This window comes from Homo sapiens, chromosome 7, assembly GCF_000001405.40.
Source record: "Homo sapiens chromosome 7, GRCh38.p14 Primary Assembly".
Taxonomy (NCBI): domain Eukaryota; kingdom Metazoa; phylum Chordata; class Mammalia; order Primates; family Hominidae; genus Homo; species Homo sapiens.
The window spans coordinates 31657148-31670440 of record NC_000007.14 but is presented as its reverse complement, the minus strand read 5'-3'; the positions used below and the strand labels follow the sequence as shown (position 1 = coordinate 31670440).

At 37.8% G+C, this 13293-nt stretch overlaps 2 protein-coding genes across 9 annotated transcripts in view; one reads left to right on the top strand and one right to left on the bottom strand.

The window, feature by feature from the left end:
* The window catches only part of PDE1C (phosphodiesterase 1C), an 811448-nt gene that overhangs the window by 757784 nt on the left and 40371 nt on the right, over positions 1–13293 (top strand). The window lies entirely within an intron of this gene.
* ITPRID1 (ITPR interacting domain containing 1) overlaps positions 11721–13293 on the bottom strand; it is a 144631-nt gene continuing 143058 nt past the window's right edge. Inside the window, exon 15 of the mRNA NM_001257968.3 lies at positions 11721–12170. Coding sequence (NP_001244897.2) covers positions 12049–12170 — 122 coding nt within the window. The 3' untranslated portion in view covers positions 11721–12048. The remainder of the gene's footprint in view (positions 12171–13293) is intronic.

The window sequence follows — 13293 nt, the reverse complement described above, 5'->3', positions numbered from 1 at the left end:
GAGCAGATTTATAATTGATTAACAGGATCTGTAACCAGTGCAGGGGGGATGGCTCAATTTTATAGAGAAATGAACATGTGGTGCAGTTTGAGCAACTCCAATTTGAAAGTCTAAAATCCCAAATGCTCCAAAATCCCAAACTTTTTCAGCACCAGAATGGTGGTCAAAGGACATGCTCATTGGAGGACTTCAGGTTTCGGATTTTCACATGAGGGATTCTCAACTGGCAAATGTTCCCAAATCCAAACAAACAAAAAATCTGCAATACTTCTGGTCCCAGGTATTTCAGATAAGGGATACTCAGCCTGTATATGAATGTTTGGGGCTGACTGAAAGACAAGGTGTCAAATCACTTCATACTTTCAAGGTTGATTGGCTCCTGACATAGAAATATCTGGGGCATCTGGAGAGATACCTTGGGACCTGTCACGGGATGGAAGGAAGGCTGGAGGAGTCCTAGATGAGAGTCAGACATTCCAAGGTTGAACACATTTCCCTGATATGCAAACCTCCTCTCTGTTAGATAAACTGACAAACTCAAAGGGTAGGGGTTAGAGAAAATAAGGGGTATTTTGTCCTTTTTTACTTTTAAATTATATTTGATAATCAAAATGTCTGTAGGCAGCAATTTAGCCATGGGGAAAGTGCCCATTGAAAATTGTGTTGAAAAGCAGACCTCAAATCTTATTACATGAGTAATGGTCTAACAAAGCCTACCTATTCTCTGCCACCCACTTTAGTTTGCACAAAGCAAATAACCCCTTGGGCAAGAAGAAGAGTCTGATGTAAATTCTATTTTTCTGCCTTATTGTTCCTGTTCCAAATTTAGAACTGATGAATGTAGTTTATGATGAAGAAAACCCATTTTGTTGCTGTGAGCTAGGGAATTAGTGTGGAAAGAGTTGTCAGAGACACAAAAAGTGGCCCATATTTTACCTTGACAGTGCTTTTTGAAGGGAAAAGTGAATTTAGATACTAAACTGGGATAATACTTCCTTTATAAATACAAATTATATAAGAGTAGCTTAAACTTTTCATTATTAACAGATTATTTTTTGTATATCTTGTTTAGGGTAGTAAAGATTAACAGTGGGTCAAATATTTTGGCTAGTGTCTTGTCCTGGGATGGCTCACGAGAACTGTTCTACTAAATATAAGGTGACCTTGCTTTTTGCTTATGAAAAAGAAAAAAGAGAAGAAAAAAAATCTACAGCATTTCTGAGTCTTACCCAAATTGCTACAATGGCTACTGGCTGGTCTTACTGCATCCTTTCATGCCCCCAGAGTCAATACCAACAAGGTAGCCAGACTACTCTTAAAATGCGTCACATCATGTCACTATCTTACAAACTCTCCAGTGACTTCTCATTACATTCAAAATAGAATCCAAACTCCCGGCCATGCCTTAACAGACCCAGGCTGAACTGGCCCCTACTTCCTTCTCCTTCCTCAACTAACTTCAGCCTTACTGACATCCTCTCTGTTCCAAAAATAAAGCAAATTCATTCCCACCTCAGGTGCTCAGACTTGCAGTTCCCTCTCTGGAAACTCCTTGCCCCTCAGGTATTTGCATGTTGATCTTATTTTTTTTTAGTAGTTCATTGAGATATAATTTATAAACAATACAATTAAAGGGAACAATGTACTGGTTTTTAGTATAGTTACAGAATTGTGCAACCATCACCATAATCTAATTCATAATATTTTCATCATCCCCCAAAGAAACCTCCTATCCAGTCACAGTCACTCCCATTCTCCCTTCCCATTCTCCAGCCGTAGACAACCGCTAAGCCACTTTCTGTCTCTATTAATTTGACTATTCTGAACATTTTACATAAATGGGATCATAAGATACATGAATTTTTGTGGCTGGTTTCGTTTACTCAGTATGTTTATGAGGTTTATCCACATTGTTGTAGTAGATATCAGTATTTCCTTTTTTTTTTATTGCTGAAGAATACTCCTTTGCGTGGATAGACTGCATCTTGTTTATCCATTCATCAGTTGATGAAAATTTGTGATGTTATTTCTACTCTTTGATTATTATGAGTATTGCTTCTGTGAACATTCATGTACATGTCTTTGTGTGAACATACATATTTATTTTCTTGGGTAGACAGAAGTGGAATTGCTGGGTCAAATGGCAACTCTATGCTTAGCATCTTGAGCAACTGACAAATTATTTTCTAAAGTGGCTACAACCACTTTACTTTCCCAATAGCAATGTAAGAGGGTTCCAATTTTGCTACACCCTCACCAATACTTGTTAATATCTTTTTGGACTTATAATAAAGTCACACAAAAGCCTAATTTCCTCTATTCCCTCTTTTCACATGTTTACTTTGTCTTATGTAAAATGTAGATTTACTGAGCAGGGATAATACATAGTCCAGTTTTTCCCTAGTCCCTCTTTTCACATGTAAAAATGCAGATTTACTGAGGCTAATCAGAGCCTCACAAGAAAGTAACCATCTTCCTCATTGCCTATCCTCCCTCTCCTTTTATTTTCCCCTCCTGCTTGCCCTTTGAATACTGAAGTTCCCCAAATCCACTTTGGAAAAAGCACTGGTCACAGATCCTCCTGTGGCTTGAATTTTTTTTTCCCAGATTCATCCTCCACCTCAGCTAAACAAACCTCTATTGATTGAGACCTGCCTCAGTCATGTTTCAACTTACAACCCCAATGACAGAGCCATCCTACCTCGATGAGCCAGTACAATATGACCCCTACCATCATGATCCTATTGTCTACTGATTACATAAAAGCACTTCACCATTATTTGAAATTTCTTTTTTTTTCATATTTGTTTACTTGTCTATTCATACACTGCCCTCCATCACTAGAATGTGAACCATATGAAAGCAAGGCCTATCTCCCTTGTTTTGCCTGTTGTGACCCTACCCCTACGACGGTGCCCAGCATAGCACGGGCGTCAATAGCTATTTAGTGAATAAACCAGTAAATATGGTTTCACTGTATTTAAACTATATTCTGACTATGTTGTTCTTCATCCAAATTAGCAAAGCAACATATAATTATCAAAGCAAGTTTAGGAGAAGTTCCTTGAAATGCACAGTCACACAGGATAATGACTCTACCTTTGATAGTCTGTGGAATTCCACAGGGTGGAGTCCTCCTAATTTTCTTAAGCTAGGGTTAAAGACTCCTTCCCAAAGATTCACTGTCACCTCAGATTCTGGGCCTGAACCTAGTCAATCACAAGAAAGGGGTATTCCAAAAGCTATAGGCGGGTAGGTCAGCCGGACATCAGTCACCATCTGCTTCTAGTATGACCACCCTTGTGCCCCCATCTTCTGTCACCTCAGCTTACTCCTGTAACTAGCTTCCACCTGAGACCCCTGCCCCGTATCCATGTCCCTAATGCTTAGCCCACATCCCGACTTCATGTCTCCTATCCCTAATAGAACAGGGGTCTTTCCTTCTCTGTTGTTTCAATGAATGGCACCTACTGCAACCCTAGCCCTTATGCCTAGAGCCTTACAACCCACTGCTGGACTTTTGTCATGACAGTTTCTCTTTAAAAGACACTGTTAAATGACAGTCTATGTGCTTGGAGAAAATATTTGGTAAACAACATACATCTGGTAAAGAACTTGTATTCAAAATATACAGGACAAAAAAAAATGGGGGGCTGGATTTAAAACTGAGTATTGACAACAAAAAGGGGCATAAGGGGACATTTGGGGTGATAGGAATATTCTATATCTTGCTTTGTGGTGATGGTATATGACTAAATGTATTTGTCAAAATTCATAGAACTCTACACCATAAAGGATGAATTTACTGTATGTGACTTATACCTCAATAACCTGACTTTAAAAAGCAACTGATTTCCTTCCTAAGAAACCAAGCAGATTTACATCCCAAATTTATTTTCCTTTTAGTATAATCAAACCTATTCATACAAATTACAGTATTAAGTTAATTGTGTAAAATGTATAATTTTCAAAGTGATTTTAGAAAATAACTTCATTTAAATACATAATAATTGTACAAATGTTACTAAACTCATTAATGAGGGAACTAGCAAGATAATAAATCTAATTTAAAGGACGGTATGAGAAAGGTTTGCTTATATGATGAGTGAAAGACAAATGTTTGATAAAATTGCTGCTTTACAAAAGACCGGTTAATTTCTCATAGGCCAATAAAGTATACCTTAACTTTTTCAGTTTTCTTCATTGGATTAATATTATTTGCATTTGTGATTAGATAAAAAGTCATTTGTATTTTATCAGGTTTCTACAGCTAACATCCAACTTTACAGAGTTGTTAAATCCCTTGGCTCTAACCAATAGCAAGTCAAGCAAGTGTACTTTCCACTGAAGCATCAGATGACCCTGATGTGAATTTATAAAGCAGCTCCCTGGTCTTGGGACAAAGAAGTTTCTAACAACAAAAACGGGGTACCCAGCTAAAGTGATTTCTCCCTAATCTTTAGGTTTTTCCACCAGAAACAATAGTGCAGGTGGCAGGGAAGGAATCTTATCTGGGCCTGCTCCAATTTGCCTGAGTCCTGCACAGAGGTAAACTACTAATCAACATCAACTTTTCCTAATGTTCAACCCCCTGGGATTCAAAGTATATATTATCTATATACATCAAAGGAAAGAGCTTCTTGAGTGGGAGTTTGTTCCTTTTAGAAGTTTCCCTGAGGGCCTTCCCCTAAGAACTTGCCCCTATCTGAGCTATTCGCCAAAAGGGTAGAAGAAGTATGACTGGATGCCCAGAAGTCCAGTTTGCAACAGGAGAGATCAAACTAATTTTGGTAAAGTGCAGGAACTACTAGCAGAAGAGGACATAGTTTTCCTCCCCAAACTAAAAATTCCTTGTTGGATTAAACTGCCTTGTTTGTGCATAGAGATTGCTTATTAGTGTTAATATATTGATTGATTAATATTAATTAAGTATCTTATGAAATCTTTTGTGAACTTACTATGTACCAGGAAGTGATTTAGGCCTGGGGATAAAATGTGGAAAGAAGAGAGACAAGTTTCTCTTCCATAAGGCTGACATTTCAGTAGGAGAGACAGCTAATAAAGAAATAAAAATAATACATGCTATGAAAGAAACAAAATAGGATCAATGGATATAGACTGTGCAGAGATGTGTGTAGGAAGAGCCTCGTTTTGGATATAATTGTCAATGAAGTCTTTTTGAAGAGGTGACATTTGAACAGAGATCTGAATGAGAAGATACCAGCAATGTGAATATCTGGGAAAAGTAGAAAAGCAAATGCAAAGAGGGAAAAGCCCCTGGCAGGAGAATGAGCTTTAATGCATTCAGAAAATAGCAAGAAGACCCATGAAGTCATGATGTTGCAACATAGTGAGAGAGGAAGGAGGAAGGAAATGGTATGAAATTAGGTCAGAGAGCTATGCAAGGTCAGGTCATGTAACACTTTGCAGATTTTGGTAAGGAGTGGAGATTCCATTTTAAATGTACTGAAGAGCCTTTGGAGATTCTTAAGTAGGTGGCCAATGTACCTGATTTATGTTTATAAAAGGCCACTCTGGCTGTTGAGTGGCAAGTGGATAAAGGAAAGAATGAGTTAACTATTATTATGATACTACATTATGAGCATGGATGTCTTGATCAGGTGAGGTAAATTGAGTTTCCCAAGACATAGAATGGAAAATGTCCCTTCCAGCCATTTGTCAGGGATATCCTCATGATCTGAAAAGACTCAATTAATCTCTTTGAAGGGAAAGGTTGCTTTGAGAGGCTATTCCTGTTGGATGAGGTTCTGTGCCGTTGGCAAAAGTTTATAAAGCAAATTTCCTTCAAGCCATCTCAGATGTGATAATCCAGGAGGATTCAGGTACTGCATCTTAATTGTCGTCATCATAAACAGTTGCATCTGGTTGTTGGGAGAGCCAGACATGTGAGTCTGTGTCCCATTCTTATGGCAACTGGAACATCATTTTCTATTATGTTCTATTTTGTTCTGACAGACAAATGATTAATTAGCACAATCATCATCTCTCCTTGAAAATGGCCATGGATCAGTGTGTCCCCCTCCATCATGTAATTGAATCAGGGCCCACACACCTGTTTCCACTTCCTTTAAACAAACACCTGCCCAATAAATAACACAAAGCAATATTAAATCTCAACTGGCTCTGTGCGTAAGTACATCTTTCAACTTGACCTAATCAATGCTGAAAGCTAGAAAAACATGGGTTTCAGAGCAGACTGCTGCCTACTCCTCACCTGTAATTGGAATGTCTGTGGCTCTGGCCTAACTTGGGCTGCATGACAGAGCTGGCCATGGTTATACTGGACAGTGGTTCAGAGTTTGGTTCTGGAGTTAGACAAACCTGGGATCATACCTGGTTTTCTAGTTGTGTGACACTGAGCAAATCACTTAATCTCTGTAAGCTTCTGTTTCCTCATCTTTAAAATGGGGATGATCCTATTTACCAGAAATATTTGTTATTCTAAAAAGTTTGATAAGAAAATGAACAGAGACTCAAAGAACTGTGGGGCAATATCAGAAGTTATTATATTTGAGCTACTGTAATCCTGGAAAAAGAAGAGAATGAAATACGTGCAGAAATGTATTTGAAGAAATAATGGTTGAAAATTTCCCAAACACGGTATGTAAATTATGCATATAAAGAACTTAGCACAGTATTAGCACATGGTAAGCAAGTGTCAGCAGTTTTCACTATAATAAGAGAATATTAAATACAATTAGGTTGGCAAATTTCATTTCTGGTTAAGATGGCATAAATACATGCTATGTTTTCCACTAAGCACAATTAAAAGTCCTGAACAGAATATATGAAGCTGAGAACTCTGAAAAGTAAATAATAGCAGGTCAACTGGAGGAGAGAATTTAAAAACTCAAAGAAAAACAACTATGGAAAAAAGTTCCTGCTTTTTTATATCCTCCGATATTTTCCGGCATAAAATCAAGAGCAGTCTGAATCTTGAAACTGTGCAAAAGCTGTTAACAGAAAAAACTGCAAGATAAACTCTCTCTCTTGGGCCAGAGGACTGGGAAAGGAGCCCCTGGAAAGCAGAAATCTTTTGCCTATCACAGTCCTACTCCTGACATGTACTGGTAACGAATGGCATTACAACGCGGTGGCAAGAGCAGCAGCAGTGGTGGCGGAATTGGGGATAGCAGCTACAGCAGTAGAGGCTCTGTAGACTCTTTTGTCTTGCCCACTTTTCCCTGAGGTAGACCCAACTGCAGGAAGTTCATGACAATGCAGGGAATCCAAAGCCACAGTTTTCTAGCCAGAGCCAGGAAAAGGAGCCCATGAGAATCAGAGTATGAAGAGGATTCACAGACGGGTAATAGCTGGATAGAGGACTGAGAAGGCACAGCAGTGTCCAGCACCGGGAGTTATAAGTGGCATACAGGGTTTGAAAAGGAATTTGGATGGGATAAAGCCAGATAGGGGTGGGATCATGGGGCTTTGTAGGACAAGGAAGAGTTAAGACTACATCCTGCATGCAGTAAGAACTCTTTGAAGACTTTTAAATTAGAGAACAGCACAATCAGATTTTTGGTTGTTTTGGTATAAATATGGATCAGAGGGATAAATATTAGAGAAAAGAAATCACCTAGAGGAATTTGGAAATCATCTAGCTGTGAGATAAAAAGGGCAGAATCAAGGCAGTAGAAGTAGGAATGGGAAGTGAACTGAGGGTTTTATATAATTTTCTTACCAACTGTGGAAGGATTCAAAGATAATTCTTGGAATTCTGGATAAGGTAACTAGCATTTTAGATTATTTACACATTTACAGGACAAAATCCAGCACACATACATGCACAGAGTCAAACACAGTCACATACGTCTACACAACACAGACACAGACACTTATACAACACAGACACATACACTTATACAACACAGACACATACACACACTTAGACACAAAAACACTATGAGTTCCTAACTGGCCCAGGTTCCAAAATCTTATTGAAAGTGCAGTGCCCACTCAGGTGGGAACAAATACAGCCTACCGGGATTTTTTTCCAGGCACTGAGATTCTTGGTGGGACACACAGTTAGAGATGATTCTGTCTGTGGAGAGTAGAGTCTTCCAGATCTGAGAATCCGCCAAATTTTTGCTTCATTTCACTTTTTTCTATTCAGGAGTAACCTCATCACTTTAGAATAATCTTTACTAAAATCTCTGTATATCCATTTAAGGACATTTTAGCGGATATTGGGTTCTTCTGGTCCTTACTCAAAATTAGTACCAGCAGGACCATATTCCCTTCCAGGGTGAATAAACAGAGGCAATGTCTGGGTGCCCTTGAACAATATCACTTTTCCAGCTCTACAGCTCTGGAAGGACTGGCACCCTACAAAAGTAAAAGTGATGACAGTATTACCTGATACAGGTAGCATAGGTCACATAGAGCTGGTTTAGAGAAGGAAATGATGAATCCAATAACCATAACCATTTGAAATGGAGAGCAGAGGTCTGAGTTAGATATGTGTATATGTGAGCCATCTGCACTTGGAGAATCAAAGGTGCAAATGCGATTGCTCAGGAAAAATGGAAAAAGAAGAGATTCAAGGAGAGAGACTCGGGGAATGTGAACTGAAGGGAGTAGGCAGAGGGAAATAAATTAATGAAGTAATGAAGAAAGATGGGAAGTGTGATGGGAGTACTGACTTTTACTTAGAAGAATGAACAGAAACAACAATATTCCCAATATTATTATATTTATTTTTTGAGACGGAGTTTCACTCTTGTTGCCCCAGGCTAGAGTGCAATGGTGGGATCTCGGCTCACTGCAACCTCCACGTTGTGGGTTCAAGCGATTCTCCTACCTCAGCCTCCCAAGTAGCTGGGATTATAGGCACGTGCCACCATGCCTGGCTAATGTTTGTATTATTAGTAGAGATGGGGATTCACCATGTTGCCCAGGCTGGTCTCGAACTCCTGACCTCAGGTGATCCACCCACCTGGGGCTCCCAAAGTGCTGGGATTACAGGTGTGAGCCACTGCGCCTGGCCCAATATTCCCAATTATGTAAGTTTTCTTCCAAAGACTATCTTTCCCTATGGGGTGAATGATTCTCAGGTGAATCAAGCACAGAAGGTAGCAGTCAATAGCTTTGCAATGTCTTAACATTTTCTTTATTATATCCTAGATATAATGATATCATGCATCCTAGGTAGAAACACACTTTCTAATTGACATTGTTTTATATATATAAACTACAGTGGCTTATTGGATGCTCAAAATAGGCATCAGGCTATCATATTCATCAACAAGATTCTGAATGTGGCAAACTGACTGATATAGACTTATTTGACAATCATACCTCTCTGTGGTACTGAATTTGTAATTTCTATTTGTGGCTTTTATTGATATTACCTTTTCTCGAGCTTATCTCTACCCCGTTCAACAAATCCGATTCCCTTGCAACCAGGAACTTCATCACATTTCTTTTTATCATCAACATTATTTCTAAGTGTTTTATTTGTAATTGGAACACTATATATAGGCATATATGTGTGTGTACATATATGTATATACACATATATACACATACATATGTGTATATTATATATAATATATATTGCATGATTGACTTTCTAATGGTAATACTGCTGGTTAGTTTTCTCTAGATACGTATTTTCATATTTAAATGAATAGGTATGTGGTATTAATTGGCTTGTATAATGTCCTGTCAAAGAGATTTGAAGTGGTTTACAGAAAGGAACATAAAAAACACCATGATGGAAAAAGATGAAGATATCAGAAGAATGGAAAAATAAGGGCTGACAAATAAGATAAAGTCAGAAATAATAATTCTTCAAAAAATTTTGTGCTCCTTTTATGTACGGTAGCCAGAAGTGGGCTGCAAAACAGTCTTGGATTTCCTTAATCAAACCAAAACAGAAAAATAAACAGAAAAAAAAAAATGGGAGAGGAACACAATCAATTTTCAGAATAAATACATCACTTGCTCCAGAACAATCTAACCTTTCTTGGTAGTGATTTAAAAGAAATTTCTATTATGTATCTTTATAAAGGGAATGTTATGTGATATAGTAGACCATAGCTTTACATAGATATATGTTTAGATATTTCCCTTTGATCATAAATAAAGGAAATCCCCAAACATTGTTTTATAGACAGAAAAGCAGTTTTTAGAAATTTATTTTAATAAGCATTTATAGAAAAGTGACAGTGGGCTAGTGTATTAGTCCGTTCTCAGGCTGCTAATAAAGACATAGCCAAGATTGGGTAATTTATAAAGGAAAGAAGTTTAATTGACTCACAGTTCAGCAAGACCAGAGAGGTCTCAGGAAACTTACAATCATGGTGGAAGGTGAAGCAAACATGTCCTTCTTCACATGGCGGCAGCAAGGAGAGGTGCCAAAAAAAAAGGGGGAAATGCACCTTATAAAACCATCATGAGATTTCATGAGAACTCACTATCATGAGAACAACATGAGGACAACTGCACCCATGATTAAATTACCTCCCACCGGTTCCCTCCGTGACATGTGGGGATTATGGGAACTACAATTCAAGATGAGATTTGGGTGGGGACACAGCCAAATTATATCAGCTAGGTACTGTTATTATCAGATGTTATGAAAGCTAAAAAGGTGAATAAAATAGAGTTGGAAGTTTCTGCTATAGCTCTACATGATTTGAGTGTTTTGCAGAAGGCCACACAAAATTTTCCTGCAATATAGTGCTTTTCAGAAGCAGACCATCAGACTACAAGAAAAGAGACTGAAGTTTCAAGGAGCACCCCTATTTTAATAAGGAGTTTTCAGAGAAAGCAAAATGTATGGCTCTACATTTATTCAGATTAAATGGAGAGTAAGGAATTGTTTTCTGAAACAAAATACAAAAGTCTACATATATAGCAACCAAGTGATGAACAAATAGCCTAGTCTACCCCTTGCGCTATCTGGCCCTGAAGCCTCCACTGGGGGCAGAAGAAGAAGCAGAGAGGTTGGTGGAGTTTGGGGCTGTGTGGAACAGACAGGGAAAGAGTGAGGCTGAGCAGGAATCAGAGTGCTGCTGCTGCCCCAGGCAGGAAACCTCTCCTTCCAATGTATCAGTGTCAATGTACTCCTCAAAACAATGTGAAGTTCACAAGGCTCAACAGCTTTCAGCACAGCATGTAACACAAAATATAAGTAAATTATTTATTTTATTCATAGGAGCGGCTAACAAAGCAATGCATTTGACAAATGCCTATCCATGTCCATAGAAGAATATAAATGATCCAAAGTAGAAACAAGTGACTTTAAAAAATATATATATAAACACTTGGTTTCAGGGATAGAGAATACTGGAAACATTATTTCTTCTATCAACTACACAGTTATAAAATATCCCCAAATACTTTCAGTTTTTAAAAAGAAAAATGTAGATACCTTGTGACTCTGGTAGATTGCCCTGAGCAAATAAGCAATTACTAGATGATCATGGGAATGAAGAAAGCATTGGTACATTTAGGAAATGTTTTCTTTCATTTTCCTGATGAATGAATAAGATAAGGTTTGGCTCTGAGTTTTGGAGGGGATTAGCAGCATTGGATGGCATTGAGTTCTTAAAGTACTCAAAAAGGAAAAATCTTCAATTTGATTCTTATGATCTGAAATCATTCTTGATGTGAAGGGTTCTTTCTTTACTTAATTGGGGACAGATTCTGAGAGGAAGCATCCCATACCAACCTCTGATCTGCCAATGTTTTAAGATCAGGCAATTAGAGGCTGAGTTTGGGCTAGAGAAAGGTGCCGTCCATATTTTGGCTTCTGTTCCTGTTCTCTCAATTTTCAAGAAAAACAATTTAACAAGGCTTTTAATAACCTACAATTCTCGCACATCATGAACAATTTGTTGTTTTAAATTACAATTTGAAATTACGTATGCAACCCACCATTCCACATGAAAACACTCTAAAACTTTTTCTTCTCAAAGGGGCACCACTTTGATACTCTAACCTCTTTACAAATGTTCTATTTTGTTCGACATGTGTTATACTCTGGAAACTGATTATTTTCTCAACAAAGAAAAACAATTACAACAGACCAGAGTCTTGTGTCTTCAGAAAGTCTTTTGATTTTATTTTTTCATCTTTAGCAGAGTTATTTGCTTTTGAAGAAAAAAAAAAGGGATCCAGCTCTGCAGACAATAATTCACCTATAAGAGAATATGTGTTAAATAAACAAAACCTAATGCAACATTTTTCTGGGAAGTGTTCTTCTGTGGGCTAAAAAACGAATATCCTTACACAAATCTACATGGCCTATGCATACACTGTGGTTCAGAGCAACCCTCAAGGTTTCATCTTTGTGTCTCCATGATGCAACTTGGGTCTTCCCTCATGCATAACGAAATCAAGGAAAAGATGTGACTTGAGTTTCCAAGTATTGTTTCTCAAATTGATCTTACCTATTCAAAGCTTTTGGCTTTGAATAAATGGAATCTGGATGGAATGAAATTAATACAGGGTAGGATCCTGTGCTTTAATGTAGAAGAGGCCACGTTTTTCCTTGGCTGATTTCTAAATTTGAAAATAATCACTTAGTGTGATTTTACTTTTTCTTTTTTTTCATTTTCATTTAAATGAGACGACTCTAAACTTGAGTTTGGTCTCATAATGAGAAGTTTTGCTGTGCTAACTTTCTGCAAATATTTAGTACAATGATACCATTTATTTTCAAATATGTGATCTGGATTTGCCTGAATATAGTCATGTTGAATATGGTCAATGCATAAAACAAAAAAAAAGGAATACAGGATCTTGGGACTTGATAATGGAATAGTAAGATTACACAGATAATCATTCAGGAACTGCAGAAGGGCTCTTGCCATTATTCTTGGCAGTGGGCAAGTGGTATTAAGCTAAGAGTTGCTAGGATGGTGGTTTAAAAGCATTCCTATGTGGTGGAACTCATCTCCTTGTATGAAAGCGACTCAGAACCGATACCTGACTACAAGCGTCAGATGCAATTAGCACAGTGCAATGTTTTTCAAATTTTTCTATAGCAATGAGATCTTTGTTTATTTAAAAAATAAATTTCTGCTAATGTTCAATGTATAACGCAGACAGAAGCAGGACTCCTCTGGTGGACTTGGGCCTAGTGTTAGGCACCACATAAACCCCAAAGCTTGGCAGAGCCATGACAAACCATTGATTTAACAAATCAGGAAATCAGAGTCAACTCAATCCCTTAATGGTTGCCAGAGCTTAGACAACTTACAGTCTTTTTGAACGAGTGTGCGTGTATGTATGTGTGAGTGATATTATATATCATATTTT